At 35.7% G+C, this 18,871-nt stretch overlaps 1 protein-coding gene and 1 long non-coding RNA gene across 5 annotated transcripts in view, besides 1 other annotated feature; one reads left to right on the top strand and one right to left on the bottom strand.

Annotated features, from left to right (window-relative positions):
- The window catches only part of RBBP8 (RB binding protein 8, endonuclease), a 112,348-nt gene extending 101,127 nt beyond the window's left edge, over window positions 1–11,221 (bottom strand). For 2 of the 4 annotated variants that reach the window (XM_006722519.3, XM_011526132.3), the window contains exons 1-2: window positions 11,054–11,221; window positions 9,875–9,940 (exon numbers count right to left, since the gene is read on the bottom strand). The gene's annotated coding sequence lies outside the window, so the exon portion shown is untranslated. Of the gene's footprint in view, window positions 1–8,513; window positions 8,619–9,874; window positions 9,941–11,053 lie in introns of all 4 variants that reach the window. The other 2 variants (XM_047437728.1, XM_006722520.3) reach the window with 2 other exon arrangements.
- RBBP8-AS1 (RBBP8 antisense RNA 1) overlaps window positions 1–18,871 on the top strand; it is a 210,274-nt gene that overhangs the window by 8,405 nt on the left and 182,998 nt on the right. The window contains exon 2 of the long non-coding RNA NR_198963.1: window positions 4,489–4,598. This is a non-coding gene — a long non-coding RNA (RBBP8 antisense RNA 1). The remainder of the gene's footprint in view (window positions 1–4,488; window positions 4,599–18,871) is intronic.
- Window positions 10,235–10,842: an enhancer, noted in NCBI's record as "OCT4-NANOG hESC enhancer chr18:20494481-20495088 (GRCh37/hg19 assembly coordinates)". NCBI's record gives its function as "activates a minimal SCP1, AML or CMV promoter by ChIP-STARR-seq in naive and primed H9 embryonic stem cells {active_cell/tissue: H9 hESC(naive and primed)}" and the evidence as "EXISTENCE:reporter gene assay evidence [ECO:0000049][PMID:30033119]".

Here is an 18,871-nt window from a genome sequence, read left to right as displayed (position 1 = left end):
TTATGTTCAACGTTCAGTACTTAAAGGAGATCCTGAGTTTTAGCTAGAAATGTTTTCAGTTTTATGTAAGTTATAATCAGAAAGATTAAAAATGTACAGTGAAATTGTGTTTTAATTCAGTTCATACTCTTGGTGACAGTTTGTTTTTGTGGACTATTTAGGATACTAAAATTGAAATAGATAGGCTTCCGGCCAAGTGCAGCAGCTCATGCCCACAATCTCAGCACTTTGGGAAGTCTAGGTGGGAGGATTGCTTGAGACCAACCTGGGCAACATAACAAGACCCTGTCTCTACAAGAAAATAAAAATAAATCTAGCTGGGTTCAGTGTTGTGTGTAGCCTCAGCTACTTGGGAGGCTAAGATGGGAGGATTGCTTGAGCCCAGGAGGTCGAAGCTGCAGTGAGCCTTGCTCACACTCTGGGTGACAAAGCGAGACCCTGGCTCAAAAAAAAGAAAAAAAAAAAAGCTTCCTTCCTTTTCTCAGTTATGGTAGACCTCTTATGTGAGGTGATCATATGCCCTAGCTTACCAGTGACAGTCCTGGTTGATTCCTATTGCTCTAGCTTAATTATTAATACAGCTCACTTTTACTTTAAAAAACATCCTGGTTTGGATGACTGTAAACCATATGGTCAGAGCCTGATGCAGTGGCTCATGCCTGTACTCCCAGCATTTTGGGAGGCTAAGGCAGGAGGATCACTTGAGCCCAGAAGTTTGAGACCAGCCTGGGCAACATAGTGAGGCTTTGTTTCTATAAAAAATAAAAACAAATTAGCCAGGTACGGTGTGTATGCCTGTGGTCCCAGCTACTCAGGAGGCTGAAGCGGGAAGATCTCTTGAGCCTAGGAAGACGAGGCTGCAGTGAGCCATGCACTGTACTCCAACCTGGGTGACAGAGCAAGTACATTTTTCTTTTTACTTCAAAAAGCTTTGGCTGGGGGCAGTGGCCCATGCCTGTAATCCCAGCACTTTGGGAGGCCGAGGCAGGCAGATCATGAGGTCAAGAGATCAAGACCATCCTCGTCAACGTGGTGAAACCCCATCTCTACTAAAAACACAAAAATTAGCCAGGTGTGGTGGTGTGCACCTGTAGTCCCAGCTACTCAGGAGGCTGAGGCAGGAGAATTGCTTGAACCAGGGAGGCAGAGGTTGCAGTGACCTGAGATTGCACCACTGCACTCCAGCCTGATGACAGAGTGAGACTCCGTCTCAAAAAAAAAAAAAAAAAAAACCAAAAACAAACTAACTAAAAAATGCTTTACACTGTAGGAGGTAACTAAAAGTACTTTAAAATTTGATTGTAATTTAATTAGCCTCAGAGCTGAAAATAAACTGGACTTTCTCAGTCAGGATTGGAGTGAAACACCTATTATAATCATCTCACTTCATTTTTTAGGCTAATTTATTTCTTAGCATTTTTGGCACATATGCTTTTTTACTTGCCTTGTAATAGATATGTACATTTGAGAAATGAATATAAATTTACTTCTAATAGAATTAGAACAATGGTTATACTAGCTTTCCCAGCCCTGGTTGTGAGTTGTTTCATGTACAAAATTTAAAATCAAGTAGATTGAAGGGTCTTAAATTATGTTGTAATCTCAGAAGGGACAGAGTAGGAAGTGCTCCAAAAAATTGTGATCATGTTCTACAGTCAGTGCTGGCATATAACCATATTCCCAGCCTTCTTGTACTATGGAAAGAGTCGTGAGCTGGGAGATAGGATGAGAGATTAAATTCTGACCCTATCTCTGATTATCTGCATGTTTCCTAGACAAGTCTTATTTCCCTCACTGAAAGAGGATATTAATACTCACTGTGCTCAAAGGGGTTGTTGTAAGAATGAAATAATATATTTGAAATTTCTTAAAGAAGAATTAAGAGACATTTGAAGCAGCTTGCCTATTGGGAGAAGAATGGCAGAAGGCTTTCCAGGCAGAAGGCATGTGCAAAGGCTATACTGTGGGGAATCATTGTTGAGTTCTATAACTGCAAGTGTATAGTAATGTATTTGTATAAGTTGATACTGGGAAGGCATCAGCTGCACCATCTAATTTGCTGAATGAATTCTAATTTTTAATTCTAATCTTGTTGAGCAAATAATTTAATTTCTCTGTACTTTGGTTGTTGATCAATGAAATGAAGGTAATAATATGTACTTTAAGTGTTTTGCAGGATTGTTGATAGGATTAAATGAGAGAGAGAAGATATATATATATATGTAAGAAACTGTAACAATGTAAGAAACTGTTGTTAACGGTAGATAGATTTAAGAGCTACAGCTAATCAGATCTCTTCAATGGCTAAAGTTGTATAGTTATAGTGAAACTATTGAATTGCTAGGCAAATTGTGAAAGATTTATAATTATAGAAAGAATTACACTATATTGTTAAATGCTTTTACATGTATTATCTTGATTTACATAATTGAGTTCAGGTAAGTTAGATAGTATTATTATATGGTTGTTGTTATTAGTTTTATTATATTCCAAGGGATTTAAAAAATCATCTAACCCAATGGCAAAATTATATAGAAAGGAGAAACTAATCTCTTTATTTATTTCAGAATTAGTGGTTATAAGAAATTATTTATTGGCCAAGTGCGGCGGCTCATGCCTGTAATCCTAGCACTGTGGGAGGTCAAGGCAGGCGGATTGCTTGAGCCCAGGAGTTTGAGACCAGACTGGACAACATGAGGAAACCCCGTTGCTACAGAAAATACATAAAAATTAGCTGGGCATGGTTATGCGTGCCTATAGTCCGAGCTACTCCATAGGCTGAGGTGGGAGGATTGTTTCAGCCTGGGAGGTGGAGGTTGCAGTGAGCTGAGATCTTGCCACCTCACTCCAGCCTGGGTGACAGAGTGAGACCCTGTCTCAAAAAAATTAATAATAATAAAATAATATCTGTTATTATTGGGCTTTTTTCAGCAGTGTGTGTCTCCACTTTTTTGTATTTGCTGTGCACTCTTCAGTTTTCCTATTTCATCTTTATTCAGTTCATTAGCTACTTTACCTAACTTCTAAGGAGATAGTGTTATTTTTTTTTAAACTCACATTTAGTTATTCTAACAGAAATTCAAGTTAAACAAAAAGATGATGTGCTTTTGGTCAGATTTCTTTTTTCTTTGCACCTATTTCTCCTTCGCTTTCTCTGAACTAAGTTTACATATTATACAAACAAGTATGGTATTTACTTAATTAAAGTACTGTTTATCTGTTCGGTTTTAAAATTTTTAATCTGCTTGACTAGAGCCTTCATATAATGTGTTTTTCAGAGCCAAGCCTCAGGATCACATTATAGGTTATAATGAATTACTTCTTGTAACTAGACCCTCTTGGACACAGTCCAAGACAAACTTGTACTATTCAAAATTGTGTGTTTCACTGTAATGAAAAGTGTTACTCGAGGGTCCAATGTAGTCAATCTGTTTTTACTATAACTTTACTAGTGTGAAAACTTAAACAATAAAGTCTTTGGATCAATGCTGGACATAAAAGTATTTACAGCGTACATACTAATTGTCCATTTTGCTGCTGTTTGGCCCTTTAAAAATTGGCAAGCAAATTCAGGAAATAAATTGAAGTTTATTAGAAAATACCTTTCTCACAGAAGATCAAGTTTCAGTGCATCTCAGGTTTTGTGGGAATGGATCAAATACATCAGACAAAAATAGGCTAAAGTTCCTTCCTCTCCATTTGAAATTGCTGTACTCATTTCTCAGAACATCTGTTTTAATTGTATTTTGTATTAGAATTATAAAACTAAAGGAAAAGCAGTTTGACCACATTTGTCCTATAACATGATGTATCGGACACGTCTTGGGCCCTGCTTGCTCCAGGTATTTCAGTGGCAACCAGATTCATGCAGGTGAAACTTTACAGTCCCTCACCTGACTTTCTGTCCTAGGAGCTTCTCTGAAGCCAATAGAAACAAGTATGCAACTTGAAAGTGTAAGAAATTAGCAACCCATGCGGCAACTCTTAACTGATGGAAGTCAGAAGTTGTGGATAAGTGCTCTTCTCTTGTGTCTTCTGACAGGCTATTCTGGGGTAGTTTGATGGCTCCTAAGAAGATACTGGGCTTGAGCTCTGTTTGCTCATAGTGGTGGATGAACTCAAGGATGAACTTTTGTATTGGCCTTCCTTCCTTCCTTTCACTAATCCCTTACTCCTGTTTCTGGGTGCTTTCCCAAATAAAGAACTCGCACATAAGCCAGAGGTCTCAGGCTCTTACTCTCATGGAGAACCTAGAGTAAAAGGGGAAACTTGAGATTTCTGTTTCACTATTTTTGAATTATTAATGGAAGTTTCAACTTTTAAAAATTTGCATGCATGGATGGGACAGGCAGATTAATTGTATTAGTCATTTGTAAGAATGTTAATGACCCAAGATTGGTTGAACATGTGCATTTGAGGTTATTTTTCTGATAATGTTAATGGGTTAGATTTGAAAAGATTCACTCACTTGCTCATTCTCTGTTATAGGCAGAAGAATCTTTTCTTGCTGCTCTCCTAGGATCTACCAACCAGAGATTCTAATGTGATACGTTTGGAATGGAGTTATCGATCTGCATTTTTAATAGGCATTCCTCCAGGTGAGTCAGATGGTCATGGACTACACTTTGAGAAACATTGCTAGGTTATTATAGTAGTAATACTCCTGGGTATTATTAGCTACATAAAGTTATAATCAATCTTATATTTCTTAATGTTTCGAGAGTCATTGAGAAATTCATTAGATTTAAAATATTTTCATGTTGGAAGGAAGTGTTTCTCACTCCTAATCTGAATCATTGTAGATATGATAGGCAAAGAACTTTCAAGGGAATAGATTTAAGGTATAACTTTGAAACTAAAAATTTGTTATTCAAGTTACATTTTCACTTTGTCAGTGATACATAATTTCTAAGATAATAGTTTCTGGTTGTTCTTAAGGCTGTATGTCTTTAACACAATGAACTGTTATGTACTCTATTTCCCAGTTTTGGATTTATAGGCAGTTTAGTTGTTAGTCTTGAGTTATGCAAATTAGCTATTTGTATAAAACCATTTATTTATCTATTGAGACAGCATTTCACTCAGTTGCCCAGGCTGGAGTATAGTAGTGTGAAGACAGCTCACTGCAGCCTTGATCTCTTGGGATCAAGTGATCCTTCTAACCACTGTGCCCAAGTAATTTTTTATTTTTTATTTTTTGTAGAGACAGAGGTCTCACTTTGTTTCCCAGGCTGGTCTTGAACTCCTGGGCTCAAGCAATCCGCTTACCGTGGCCTCTCAAAGTGCTGGGATTATAGGTGTGATCCACCATTCCCCACCAGAACATTTTAAAAACATATTTAAAATTTTTGTTTTTTTCCTGCCTTCTTTGCAATTGTTTGTAGTAATATCTACTGTAAACATTTAAAAGTAAATGCAAATTAAATACTAATTTTAATGACTAGTCACATAGGCTAAATTGCTTACGTAGCTAATAAAATAGTTTTAATAAGAATATATAATTAATTAGGCTAGACATGGTGGCTCACACCTGTAATCCCAGCACTTTGGGAGGCCACGGAGGGTGGATCATCTAAGGTCAGGAGTTCGAGATCAGCCTGGCCAACATAATGAAATCCCATCTGTACTAAAAATGCAAAAATTCACCAGGTGTGGTGGCATGTCCCTGTAATCCCAGCTACTCCAGAGTCTGAGGCAGGAGAATCGCTTGAACCTGGTAGGCAGAGGTTGCAGTAAGCCAAGATCATGCCACTTCAGCCTGAGTGACAGAGCGAGACTCTCTCTCTCAAAAAAAGAAAAAAAGAATATGTGATTAATTAGTGGGCTAAATTGGTGAAATGATGCTTTTGTCTTTCTGCACACCATCTACATACAGTGTCTACAATTTAAGTGAAAAGATTCTTTTATCGTGGACTTAAATTGAAATTATAGCATCAGCAGAAAGCTTTTTGTAAAGCGATTAAACATCTTTCAGGAAATTAAAGTTGATTACAAGAGCTCAATAAGATCAGTTTGTGTTATAAATGGATTATTAGTTGGTTCTAATGTTAACTCTAAACCAATTTTTTGCTCTTTATTCATTCATTGGAAGATGTGTCAATTGACCTCTTTTTAGTTAAGCAAGCTCTCAGAATGTTTGTCGTGGTATTCTGAACTCCCTCTGACCAATACATTTCACAAAAAGCTCCTCCTTTGTGATCTTTGCTCATCGGCTTCATTCCCTAATCAATTAATCAGTCTAAGACTAATTTAATATTATCTTTAGAAAATGTTAAATCCTCTTCTATCTTCTTGTGCTCTATACATTTTGGACTCACTCTGCTCATCATTACTTGCTATCAAAATAATGCAATATAATTTAATATTAGCCTATAATAAATTTAATTCAGAAGGGAATTTTTTTGTAGGAGAAAACACATTCCAGAGTCCTGAAAGAATAATTTACTTGGTAGTAGAAAAAGCACAATCCTTAGAGCATATAGAAATTCTTAGGCTGAGGTGGGAAGATTGCTTGAGGCTAGGAGTTCAAGATCAGCCTGGGAAACATAGGGAGAACACATCTCTACAAAAAATTTTTAAAAAAATTATCCAGGTGTAGCGGCATGTGCCTGTGGTCCCAGCTACATGGGAGGCTAAACCTGGGTGACAGAGTGAGACCCTATCTAAAAAAAGAAGAAAGAAAATAAATTCTTGGCCAATTAATTTGACGTCATGTTAGATAATAGACAAAAAAAAGCTGTTGGAAAACTCAGAAGGCACAAGTAAGGTACAGCCATGCACTGAATAGCAGTGTTTTGATCAGCAGTGGAACACAAATGCTACAGTGGTCCTATAAGATTATAATACCACATATTTTTACGGTACCTTTTCTATGTCAGTATATGTTTAGATACACAAATACTTATCACACACACTATGTTACAGTTGCTTACAGTATTCAGTACAGTAGCATACTGTACAGGTTTATAACCTGGAAGCAATAAGACATACCATATAGTCTAGGTGTGTAGTAGGCTCTGCCATTGAGGTTTTGTAAGTAGACTTTATAATGTTCACACAACAATGAAATCACCTAATTTCTCATTTCTCAGAATGTATCCCTGTTGTTACTTGATGCATGAATGCATTATAATTTGAATTATCCATGTCACGCTTTCTTCCATTAGTACAGATGATTGAAATTGAATTTTTAAAAAGTATTTAAGGCTTTTAATCATCTTGGTGTACCACTCTCAAAATACTTTTAACAAAGACTTCTTTGAAGTGAATCTTTAATTGGATTGGATTATATGGGTTTCTGATTTTTTAAATTTAAGAAGGTTAAAATATTTTCCAACATTATATGTTTTTTTTTTTTTTTTTGAGACGGAGTCTTGCTCAGTTGACCAGGCTGGAGTGCAGTGGCGCGATCTTGGCTCACTGCAACCTCTGCCTCCCAGGTTCAAGCAATTCTTCTGCCTCAGTCTCCCGAGTAGCTGGGACTACAGGCACGCACCACCACACTGGCTAATTTTTGTATTTTTAGTAGAGACGGGATTTCATCATATTGGCCAGGCTTGTCTCGAACACCTGACCTTGTGATCTGGCTGCCTCAGCCTCCCAAAGTGCTGGGATTACAGGAGTGAGCCACTGCGCCCGGCCCCAACATTATATCTTAATGCCTTCCAAGATTGCTGATTTTATTTTTATCTTTCTGACAAAAACGTGCATATTCTAAGTTAAAGTTGACTTCTCTTACTGAAAGAAAATACTGAAATACTTCAGGAAATACCGAAGCTATTTGTTGAAATGTATTATATAGTCTGTAAAAGGGGTAAGAAGGATACTGACATTTGCTGAGCACCTGCTATGTTCTAGGAACTATGTGAAGTGTTTTACATGATATCTCATTTAATTCTTCCAATAACTCTGAAAGAATGGTATTAACTTAACTTCCTTAACTAGATGGAGAAAAGCTAACTCAGAGAGTTAAATAATTTCCAAGGGGAACGTAATTTGTAGCAGAGTTATTCAGACCCATGTCAATTTGGCTCAAAAGCTCACATGCTTTTCAGTATACTGCCTTTTCTCTTGTAAAGTTAAGAAACAAATGAAAGCGATTTTTTTCAGAGTCCACTTGGACTGAACTAAAATGACCAAATTTAGAAGCATTTTCCAGGTAGGATTTTACCTGTGATAAGATAAGGTAATTAGTAGAATTAACATTTAGTACCAGGAATCAGAATTGAAATTTTTGGCCTTTGGTTCTCCAACTTTCTGTAATCACATTTCCTAGGAATTCCTCAAATTAAAAATGTTTAAAACTTTTTTGAGCACTTGTGTGCAAAGCTTACCCCTTCAATAACAGCTTCTATCACCTCTAAGATGGGTTTTTAAGTCCTGCAATTTCTGTCTTCATAACAAAATTTTCCTGTCAGTTCTAACCAAATTTAAAGAATACTATATTAACTTAGGCAAATCCTAAATTATGAGCATTTAAGAATGACTAAAATAATACAAAAATATATACATACTAAGAAAATAGACAGTTGAGACAGCTTAAAGCAATATTGAGTCAGAAAATGAGAGCGGGATCCACAAGTTGGGCAAATATGAAAGAATGTGAGGCTTTCATCAGTCTGAAACAAAATAATATGATGGCATTAAGAGATTGGGGTTTGAAGTGGTAGTCACCTTTGTTATCAATGGCAATCCCATATATATTCAGCCATTGTCCCAAAAATGTTTGGGGCAATAATGGTATAGATTAAAATATAAAAACAAATGATTTTTTAGTTCACCAAAGATTCATTAACACACTATACAACATAATTTTACCTTTTTAGATTAGATTTCATGTAGTATTCAGAAGAGTCAATGTAGGGTAGTGAAAAAATTACTGGTCTTGGTGGAAGTCAGGAAACCTGGATGTTCTGGCCCCAGATCTACCCTTAGATTATATAATAGTGACTTAGCTATATTTTGGGGCTTTTCATTTCTTAACTCAAAAATGAGATATTGGATTCATTGGTTATTCTTTAAATGTCCCTCTTAGGTAAAAAATGACATAATTCTAAGTGCTTTTAGTGGAAAACACATGAAGATATTCAGGAGGGAAAGAAGTTGCAGTTGTTAAGAAAGCTAGCATTGTTGACAGAAAGAGTTATGCGAAATTGTGCAGCTAGGAATAAAAAGAAATGCATCCTCGACTAAAAGAGTAAAAAAATTTTAAATGAGTGGAATACTTTTTGACTAGGCGCTGAAGTATGTTGGTCTGTATAAAATACATACACACTCCTAATTTGATTGACAAATTTATATATCCTCAGTTTTAACAAAAATATCGCAATGTATCAATATTTTAAAGGACTAAATTTATGGAAAATACATGAAAGTAATATCTAATAGGACTTACATATATTTGAAAATGAAAATTCCATTAAATGAAAATTGTAAAATCCTCTCCCAAAATACAGAGTTAAGCTTGAAATTTTACCCATGGATTTTATATAAATGTATATCTAGTTCTTAAATAGCTTTCTTCAAAACCATAAACATAAAAAATGCTCAATAAATAAATTAGAATCCCAAATTAAATTTATCTTTAAACAGTAAGCCCTATGTTTTAAACACGGTGTGGTTTAAATTTTTTAAATTATCATATGCAATATATTCACCAGAAATACTAACAATGTGCTCTATTGGTATATATATATTACCTGAAAACTAGGTTTCATGTAGTAAATTCAGAAAAATTCAGCCAATTAAAAGTTTTGATCCATATTACCAAAAACTTGTCAAAATACAATTTGTGCTGAATAAAATTAATATTGGCTTGCTGAATCAGCACATTGCTTTTGCAGATACAACATTACATAGCTTTTCAGCAGTTTACCTGGATTACCAGAAATTCATGCAGAACTGCCTAGAAGTAGGACTATGAAGCATCCAAGGGTTTTCCCTGCAAAAAATGAAATCTCATCTGAACATTTATTCACACTTTTAAATTTATTCTTTGTCAACATCCTAAGGAAACTAATATTATAGCCTTTGAGTTAGAAAATAATTTTATAGCCTTTGAGTTTGAACATAGTGACAAAGTGGGAACCCTAGGGACAATGAAAAGGATGCATCAGTCTTGCTCAGCTCAAAGCAAAGTCCTACTAAGATGACAGGAAAGCATTCAGTATAATATGTTAAAAAAATTTTAAATTCCCAGATAAAATCATATGTCAGCTGTTATGTTAAATTAAATGCCCTAGAAGACATGTGCTTCAATTCAATCTAATATCAGTAAATAAAGGGGTAGGATGGTATGCCAACATAAATCTAAAGGGATTGGTAACTTTCATTTTACATGATACAAACTACTAAAATAAATTAATTGGATTACGTAAAGAGAGAGATAAAAGGAAGATTTTTAATATAAATGAAAGGAAGATCCAGGTATTCTTTAACCTAAAAAGTTTTTCAGACCTAATAGGCATGACAAAACCTGTCTTCATTCCTTTCTATTCAGCTCAGCAAGTGCTTTTGAGCTCCAATAGTTAATCAGTTACCAGATTCCACGGTCTTTGTTTTTCACACTCCTCAATTTTTACTGTGAATTGTTCCTCTAATGAATGTACTTAGGATCACCAGCCGGCCAATGCTTTTTTTGGCCTTAAAAGGGCAATTATTATTTATCCACAATTAGATTTACCATATAAAATTGTTACCATATAGCAACAGCCTATAAAACATAATAGTTACATTATGAAGGAAGTAGATGGCTTAATGTAAATCATTAATATGTGAAATTTATTTGGCAAAATTATTCAGTCCAGCTTTTAAAATGACTATAGCCATGCACAACTTACAGAAAAGCATAGTAAGAGAATATTATATACCAAATAACCTTTATGCAAACAATCAATGAACATAACGCAAGTGTTATAAAACAATATCTAGCTTTACAGAAAAGGTATAATGCAGGTATTACTATGTTAAAAATTGATTATCTTTTTAAACATCATTTCTTAATTTAACTTTCCAAAATGCATAGGAAACTGAGAAATTTTAAAAATATACTTACCCTTCGACTTATTTAGAAAACCTCTGCTCTTGGTGAAAAGCAGAAATTGTTTCACTGCTCACTTTCCCTGAATCTATCAACTTAAACATTAAATCAGTGAACACCACCTCTCTGGACCACACTGGTTTGCTAGACACTACTGCTATGTGGAAGAGTTCTGCTGCATCTAAGCTATATACTGAGTGCAATGGATAACCTAATATGCCTTTCATTTAACTGGCTGGGCAGGTTTCTACCGTCTGTGGAACATGGAATCAAACCAGAATATGTTGGCACAACAGGCCAGTAAAACCGGTTCTTCTGTAGATCCAGAACCTGTCCAACCAGTCTGTATCAAAGGCTAGCCCAACTTGCTGCAGCGGCTCAGCTCTGCTAAGCTTGTACTGGGTGGGTTATCCCCACCTCCTGTCAACTCCCAACAAACTACTCAGAATGTTGTAGCCTCCAGCAAAATAATTCAGAGTTCTAGTGGGAGGGGTAGATCTGTGTCAGGTATAGCAAGAGTCCATTGTTATAAGACTCTCGTGGTAGACATATATAAGCAAGTGGTCTATTATCTTCAGAGGTAGGTAATCCTTTTAAACATGTATTCTAGGGCATTCTCTTGACTACAGCCTCTAGAAATAGATTACCTATGATGAAGATGGATCCTATAATGCCTGACCTTTTCCACTAGTCTGCTTGGCTTTGCTTGATCTAGCTTAGCCTTGAGGAGCGAGATTGATATTCCCCACAGGGTAGTGGGCTTGAGAGCTAGAAGGAAGCATTTCTAGAAGGAGAGAAACAAGGTGTAGGTTGACCAAACATTTGCCTGGGTGTGTTATCTTCCTTGTTCTCAAATGATCCTCATACCATTCCAGTCTAAAATTGGAAAAACTCCTACTTCTACATACTAGGGACAACTTAAAAAGGTTTTGCTCTGAATATTCAACAGTTCAACACAAAGTATTGGTATCAACTATGTTTCAAGAACTGTGCCAGGTACAGGGTTCACAATGTAAGTAAAATTAGTAAAGATGAGAGCAACGTCAAAGTTCTCGATTAAGCGTGTCTAGTAAGTTTTGGAAAGAAGAAATGAGCAGCAAAACATTACATTTTGACAGAAATTGGTTTGTATTAAGAGAGATCATGTGGGATTTGTTCTTACTCTCTCATAATACTTGCACATTTAGAAGCAGTATTTCCTGTCTACTGACATAGTGTTTCTGAAACCTTTGTGCTTAAGAATCATCTGAAGTGTTGATTAAGAGCACAGATTCCTGGGCCTAACCACCGCAGATTCTGCTTCAACATTCAATAGGAATGTTGCCCAAGCACTTCTAGTGATTCTGATGCAATTATTGCAGGGACCATAGGCACAATTCCATGCTCAGTTTCTTTTCTATTTTTATACCTAATTAAAAAGAATACATATGAACCAAAAGATGCCATTTTTATTTTTGTATTTCTAGTGTCTAGAACACTGACTGACACTTAGAAGGTACTTAATAAATGCTTATCAGAGTTAAGCAGTTGCTAGATCTCAGGGGAATCACAACTAGTAATGACTATATGAATCAAACTCCACTAAATACTGTAATTATAATAATTGAGATGGGAGCTCAGAAATGGGAGTGAGTATGACTATAAGTATGGGGAAGACTTCACATGGGAGATGGGTTTAGAGGCTTTTCTTTTTAAACCATGGCCAAAGATTTCTATCTGCAGGGTAACAAAAGGCTAAAGGAACAATAAAAATAGTGCCTTTGATTTGATAACAGTAACAAAAGTGTTAAGTATATGAGGACACCATGAATTCAAAACTTGGTAATAAGGTTATTTTCTACAGCAGGGTCAGCAGATTTTTCCTTAAAGGAGCAGAGACTAATAGAGTTTGTCAGCTAGATTGTCTCTGTCTCAACTATTCAGTTGTAACAGTGTAGCACAAAAACAGGCATAGACAATAGTCATTTAAATGGGTGTGATATTGTGAAATACGTGTTTGGTCTTTGACCCTTTTTCCTGGTGTATGACTCCTAAAATCCTTACTCTCCAAAGTGATGTCTTTGGATGCTAATGAGTTGACTGGTAGCTGGCAACCCCTAGGTAGCTTCAGGATGGGGGCTGGTCACCAGAAAGACCAAGGCAGGATTAGGGGCTTAGGATTTTCAGCCCTTCCCTACAACCTGTGGGTTAAATTGATCACTAATGGCCAATGGTTTAATCATACCTATGTAATGAAGTCCCGTGAAAACCCAAAGGACACAATAGCTTTCCGATAGCTGAACACATGGAGCTTCCTGGAGGGTGGTGCACTGGAGAGGGCAGGGAAGTGCAACACCTCTTCTAACGTGCCTACCCCATGACTCTCTTCACCTGTACCTGTGGCAATATCCTTTACTGTAAACTGGTAAACGTAAATGGTTCCCTTCAGTTCTGTGAGTTGCTCTAGCAAATTAATCAAATCCAAGGAGGGGGTCTTGGGATCCCCAATTTATAACCAATCAGTTAAAAGCACAGGTAAAAATAACCCAGGACTTGTTGGCATCAGAAGTAGGGGGCAGTCTTTCGGTACTGAGCCCCAACTTGTGGAATTTGATTTCTAGGTAGATAGTGTCAGAACTAAATTGGAGGATACCTACCTGGTATCTGCTGCAGAATTCATTACTTGCTTGTTGGTAGGGGAAAATCTCCACACATTTGGCTGCAGAAGTCTTCTGTGTTAATTCTTGGTGTTGAGTGAGAGAATAGAAAAAGTACTTTGAGTTTGAGTGTGCTTTTTTCCACACGATTGGTATGGATATGTTCTAATAAAACTTTACAAAACAAGGGGCAGACCAGATTTGGCTAGTAAACCATAGTTTGCTGACCTCTAATCTAGAGTAAAACCTGTGAATTGTTAATTGAAAAATTAACAAGATTGCATAATTGTCTAGGCAAATTGGCTTTTGAGTCATAAAGACTTGGGTTCCATCGCAGTTCTGTTCCACCCTAGCCTTGTCACCTGAATCAAACATCAGTTTTATTTATAAAATGGGAAGCAAAATAATAGTACCTATCTCCTAGAGTTATTACAAGATTCAGATGATAATTTATATAAAGGTTTATCTGCAAATCTAATACACAGTAAGCGCTTGATAAAATGTCAGCTGAAAATAAAACTAGTTAAACATTGCAGGTGAACTTGTTTATTTCTGTTGTTCTTGAAATCCCAGTAAAATGACAGTAGAGAAACCAAAACTGCATGAACCCTTAAAGACCAAAAAGATTGAGAGACGTAGCGGATAAGAGACGTCTATGTGTTTTTGCAAGGAGGAATGAGAATGAGTGGTGACTTAGCAGAATAGAGAGGAAGTCTGACTACTTGCCATGATAAAAGCATGTCTGTCTCTACTGTAGAATGCTGGAAAAACTCAGGATTTGGAGGTACAAGTTCCCCTTAAATAGCCTTGGGGAGTAGAGTGGGCTTGGAATGGAAGGATTGGTTGAAAATCTGTTTAAGCAACAGTTTGCTCCGTTGGTCCCATCTCAATGAAGAAGCCTGGATTCTTCAACCTTGACAGAGATAGATAGGACTTGTTGATTCATGGTAGAAGAGATTATCTCAGGTTTGTTCTAGATTTGGGAATACTAAGCAGAACTGAGAGTGGATGCTAAAGCACCATACTGAAATCAAATGATTATATGATTTTTCCTATTGGTTCTATAACACATTAACCCTCAAATATAGTGGTTTAAAAAAAACACAAATTTATCATCTTATAATTCCAGGGGTCAGAAGTCCAAAATGAATCTCAGCGGGTTAAAATTAACGTGTCAGCAGAGTTGTCTTTCTTCATGGAGGCTCTAGAAAGAAATTTTGTTTTCTTGCCTTTCCCAGCTTCTTTCAGCCACCTGCATTACTTGGCTCATGGCTTCCTTACTTCTTCAAAGCCAGCAATGGATTTTTCATGTCATATCATTTTGTCCCTGACTCTCCTGCCCTCCTCTTCTGTATTTAAATCCAACTGAATAATCCAAGATAATCTCCCTTTGTTAAGGTCAATTTTTTAGCAAGCTTAATTCTACCTGCTATCTAAATTCTCTTTTGCCATGTAACATAACATGTTCATAGGTTCCTGGGATTAGGATGTGTGGACATCTGTGAGAGGCCATTATTCTGCCTACCAGAGAGATTAAGTCAGAGTCTGTGTATTGGTTGGTGAGATACCTATGTCTGTTCATCTGCTTGGTTTCCAAATGCTAGTGACTAGGTTCATATTCTTCACTCACAAAGTAGGAAACTGGAGAACTTCTCTGAGAAACTCTCAAGACCCTGATCACCGTAATGCATTGGCTAAAAACTAGGACTGGTTTCCCCCCACAGGGGACATTTGGCAATGTTTGGAGAGATACTTGATTGTAATAACTAAAGATATGCGCAGAGGTGTGCTACTGGCATCTCGTGGATAGAGGCCAAGGATGCTGCTAACCATTTTGCAGTACACAGGGAAGCTCATCTTCCTGTTCCCCAAAATAATTATTCAGTTCAAAATGTCAATAGGGCCAAAGTTGAGAAATCCTACCCTAATATTAAGTCTATCAGTTAACATCACCCTAACATAAATCAATGACTGATTAGAGAGCATGTAACATGAAAAAGAGAGAGGAAGAGAAACCAACAGGTAAAATGAACATAGAAAAAACAGTCAATGCGGAGAATAGAATAGTGTTTTAAATTGACTATATTAATATGTTCAAAGAAATAAGACAAGTTACTGATTGTGTAAAACAAGAATAGAAAGGCTATCCAAAAGTAGAACTTTTTGAGAACAAAAAAGAGATATTGGAAAGTAAAGATATGATAGTAGAAAGGAAGTCAGTAACCCAGGTAGAGTTTAGTGATTTCACAAAGATTGCCAGATTGGTTAAAAATGTAAGACCCAACTATATGCTGCCTGCAATAAACATATTTTAGACATAAAAAACCAAATAGGTTAAAGGTAAAAGGACCAAAAAAGACATACCATGGCAACACTAATCAAAAGATACTCATATTACTATCAGACAAAATAGGTTTTAGATCAGAGTATATTACTAAGGATAAAAAGGGTCATTTCAAAATGATAAAAGGGTGAATTCATCAGGGGTACCTAATATAATTGTACACATTCATGTGTCTAATGATACAAATGGAAAACACACGAATCAAAATCTGATAGAACTGAAAGGAGTACAGGAAAAATTTATAACTAGATCCCATAATTATATCTGAAGATTGCAATACTCCTCTTTCAATAATTGATAGGGTAAGTAGACAGAAAATCAGTAAAAGTGTAGAAGGCTTAATTAACACTATCAACCTAGTAGATGTAATTGACATTTGTAGATCACTTTAAAACAACAAAACACACATTCTTTTCAAGTGCACATGGAACATTGACCAAGTTAGGCTATATTCTAGGTCATAAAACAAGTCTCAAATTTAAACAGACTCAAGTAATACAAAGTATGTTTTCTGATGACAATGGCATTAAGTTAGAAATCAATAACAGAATGATGTGTGGGGAATTCCCCAAATATTTGTAAACGAAACAACACACTCCTAAATAACTCATATGTCAGTGATGAAATCAAACAGGAAAGTATTTTGAGCTAGATGGTAATGAAAATTCAACATATTAAAATTGTGGGATGTTGCTACAGCAGTACTTAGAAGGAAATTTATAACACTAAATGTGTTTTAAATAAAATATAGACATTAAATGTCTATGTTGGAAAAAGAAAGATCTCGAATCAATGACCTCAGCTTCCACCTTAAGAAACCAGAAAAAGAAGAGAAAGAAAATAATAAAAATTAGAGTAGAAATCAATGAACTGGAAGACAGATAGAAAAAATCAGTACAACCAAAAGCTGCTTCTTTGACTGAATCAATACAACTGATTTAAACTTCTAGCCACACTGATCCGGGGGGAAAAAAGGATTAGCGGTAGGGGGAGAAAACACAAATTTTGAATATTTGGAATGAAAGAAGTGGTATCAATACAGATGCAACAGATGAAAAGTGTGAGAAGGAAATATTATGAATTTTATGTCAGTATGGTCAACTTAGATGAAATAGACACAATTACTTGAGAGACACAAACTATCAAAGCTAATCCAAGAAGAAATAACCTTTTATTTATTAAATAAATTTAATTTGTAGTTAAAGACCTAACCATAAAGAATTCCAAGCCAAGAGTTTCACTGGTAAGTGGTTTCACTGGAATTCTTACAAACATTCCAGGAAGAAATAACACCAATTTAATGCAAACTTTTCCAGAAAATCAAAGAGGAGGAAATAACTGCCAATTCATTTTATAAGGCCAGCATTACTCTGATACCAAAATTAAATACATTGCAAGAAAAGAATTTTATAGATTCGTATTTCTTATGAAATAGTTATAAAATTCTAAAAATTTTAGCAAATTGAAGCCAATGATTATTTCAATAGGTGCAAAAAAAATTTTGGACAATATTTAACAGACTTTCCTGATAAAAGGTATTTGTAAGCTAGGAATGGAATTCACTCATTATGACAAGTGGCATCTATGAAAAACCTACCGCTGACATCATAGTTAATGGGGATAGTGAAAGACTGAGGCAAAAAAGGCAAGAAAAAATAAAAGGCCATGTAGACTGAAAAGGAAGAAGTAAAACTGTCTTTGCAGGTAACATGAGTATCTGTGTAGAAAATTCTGTAGCATCTACAAAAAATATTCTAAAACTAATAATTGAATTTAGCAAGCTTGTAGTAAACAAGATCGATATACAAAAACAATAATAAATAATAGCAATGAATAACCTAAAATTAAAATCTGAAAAACAATACTATTTATAATAGTATATTGAGTAGTACCAAAAATTATGAAATATTTTGGTATAAATTTTACAAAAGATGTGTGAGAACTGTAACTAAACACTATAAAATATTGCTGATGGACATTAAAGACTACTCAAATAGAGAGAGATACAGGGTTCATGGATTGGAGGACTCTTTATTCTTAAGATATAATTTCTTGGCTGGGAATTGTAGCTCATGCTTATAATTCCAGCACTTTGGGAGGCTGAGATGGGGGTATCGCTTGAGCCCAGGGGGTCAAGGCTGCAGTGAGCTGTGTTCATGCCACCGCACTCCAGCCTGGGCAACAGAGGGAGAAAAAAAGATGTAATTTCCTCCTAAATTGATCTATAAATTTTATGCAATCCTAGTAAACATCCTAGCATTTTTGTATAAATTGACAGGTTGATTCTAAAATTTATGTTGAAATGCCAAGTCAGAACAACTTTGAATAAATAGATAATTTATACCTAGTGATGTGCTGATGTTTAACAACTAGCTCTCTGGAAATACTTTTGTGGTATAAATACACCATGGCTGATTTCAAGCTACTAATGTGACATCACTGAACACAGGGTACGGAAGAGATATACAAGATCAGTTCTTGTGAATGGGTGCAAGCCAGTTTCAGCACACCACTTATTACACTACATGATTTTAAGATTTATCATAAAGCCACAGTAATCAAAATGGTATGGTACTGGCATAGGCAATAAAAATTCAGTAAGAATGTATAGAGAGTTCAGAAATAGAGCCACACATATATGACCAATTCATTTTTGACAAAGGTGAAAAGATAATTCAGGAGAAAGGAAACAGTTTTTTCAACAATAGTGCTGGAAGAATTGGATATTTACATAAAAAAGAACTATCCATACATTATACAACTGTTAACTTAGATCATGGTTCTAAATATAAAATATAAAACTTCAGAATTTTTAGGATAAAAACTTTGTAACCTTGAGTTATACAAAATACT

Source organism: Homo sapiens, chromosome 18 (assembly GCF_000001405.40).
Source record: "Homo sapiens chromosome 18, GRCh38.p14 Primary Assembly".
Classification (NCBI taxonomy): Eukaryota; Metazoa; Chordata; class Mammalia; order Primates; family Hominidae; genus Homo; species Homo sapiens.
The sequence above is the reverse complement of the archived record's forward strand: the minus strand, read 5'-3'. Positions and strand labels throughout refer to the sequence as shown.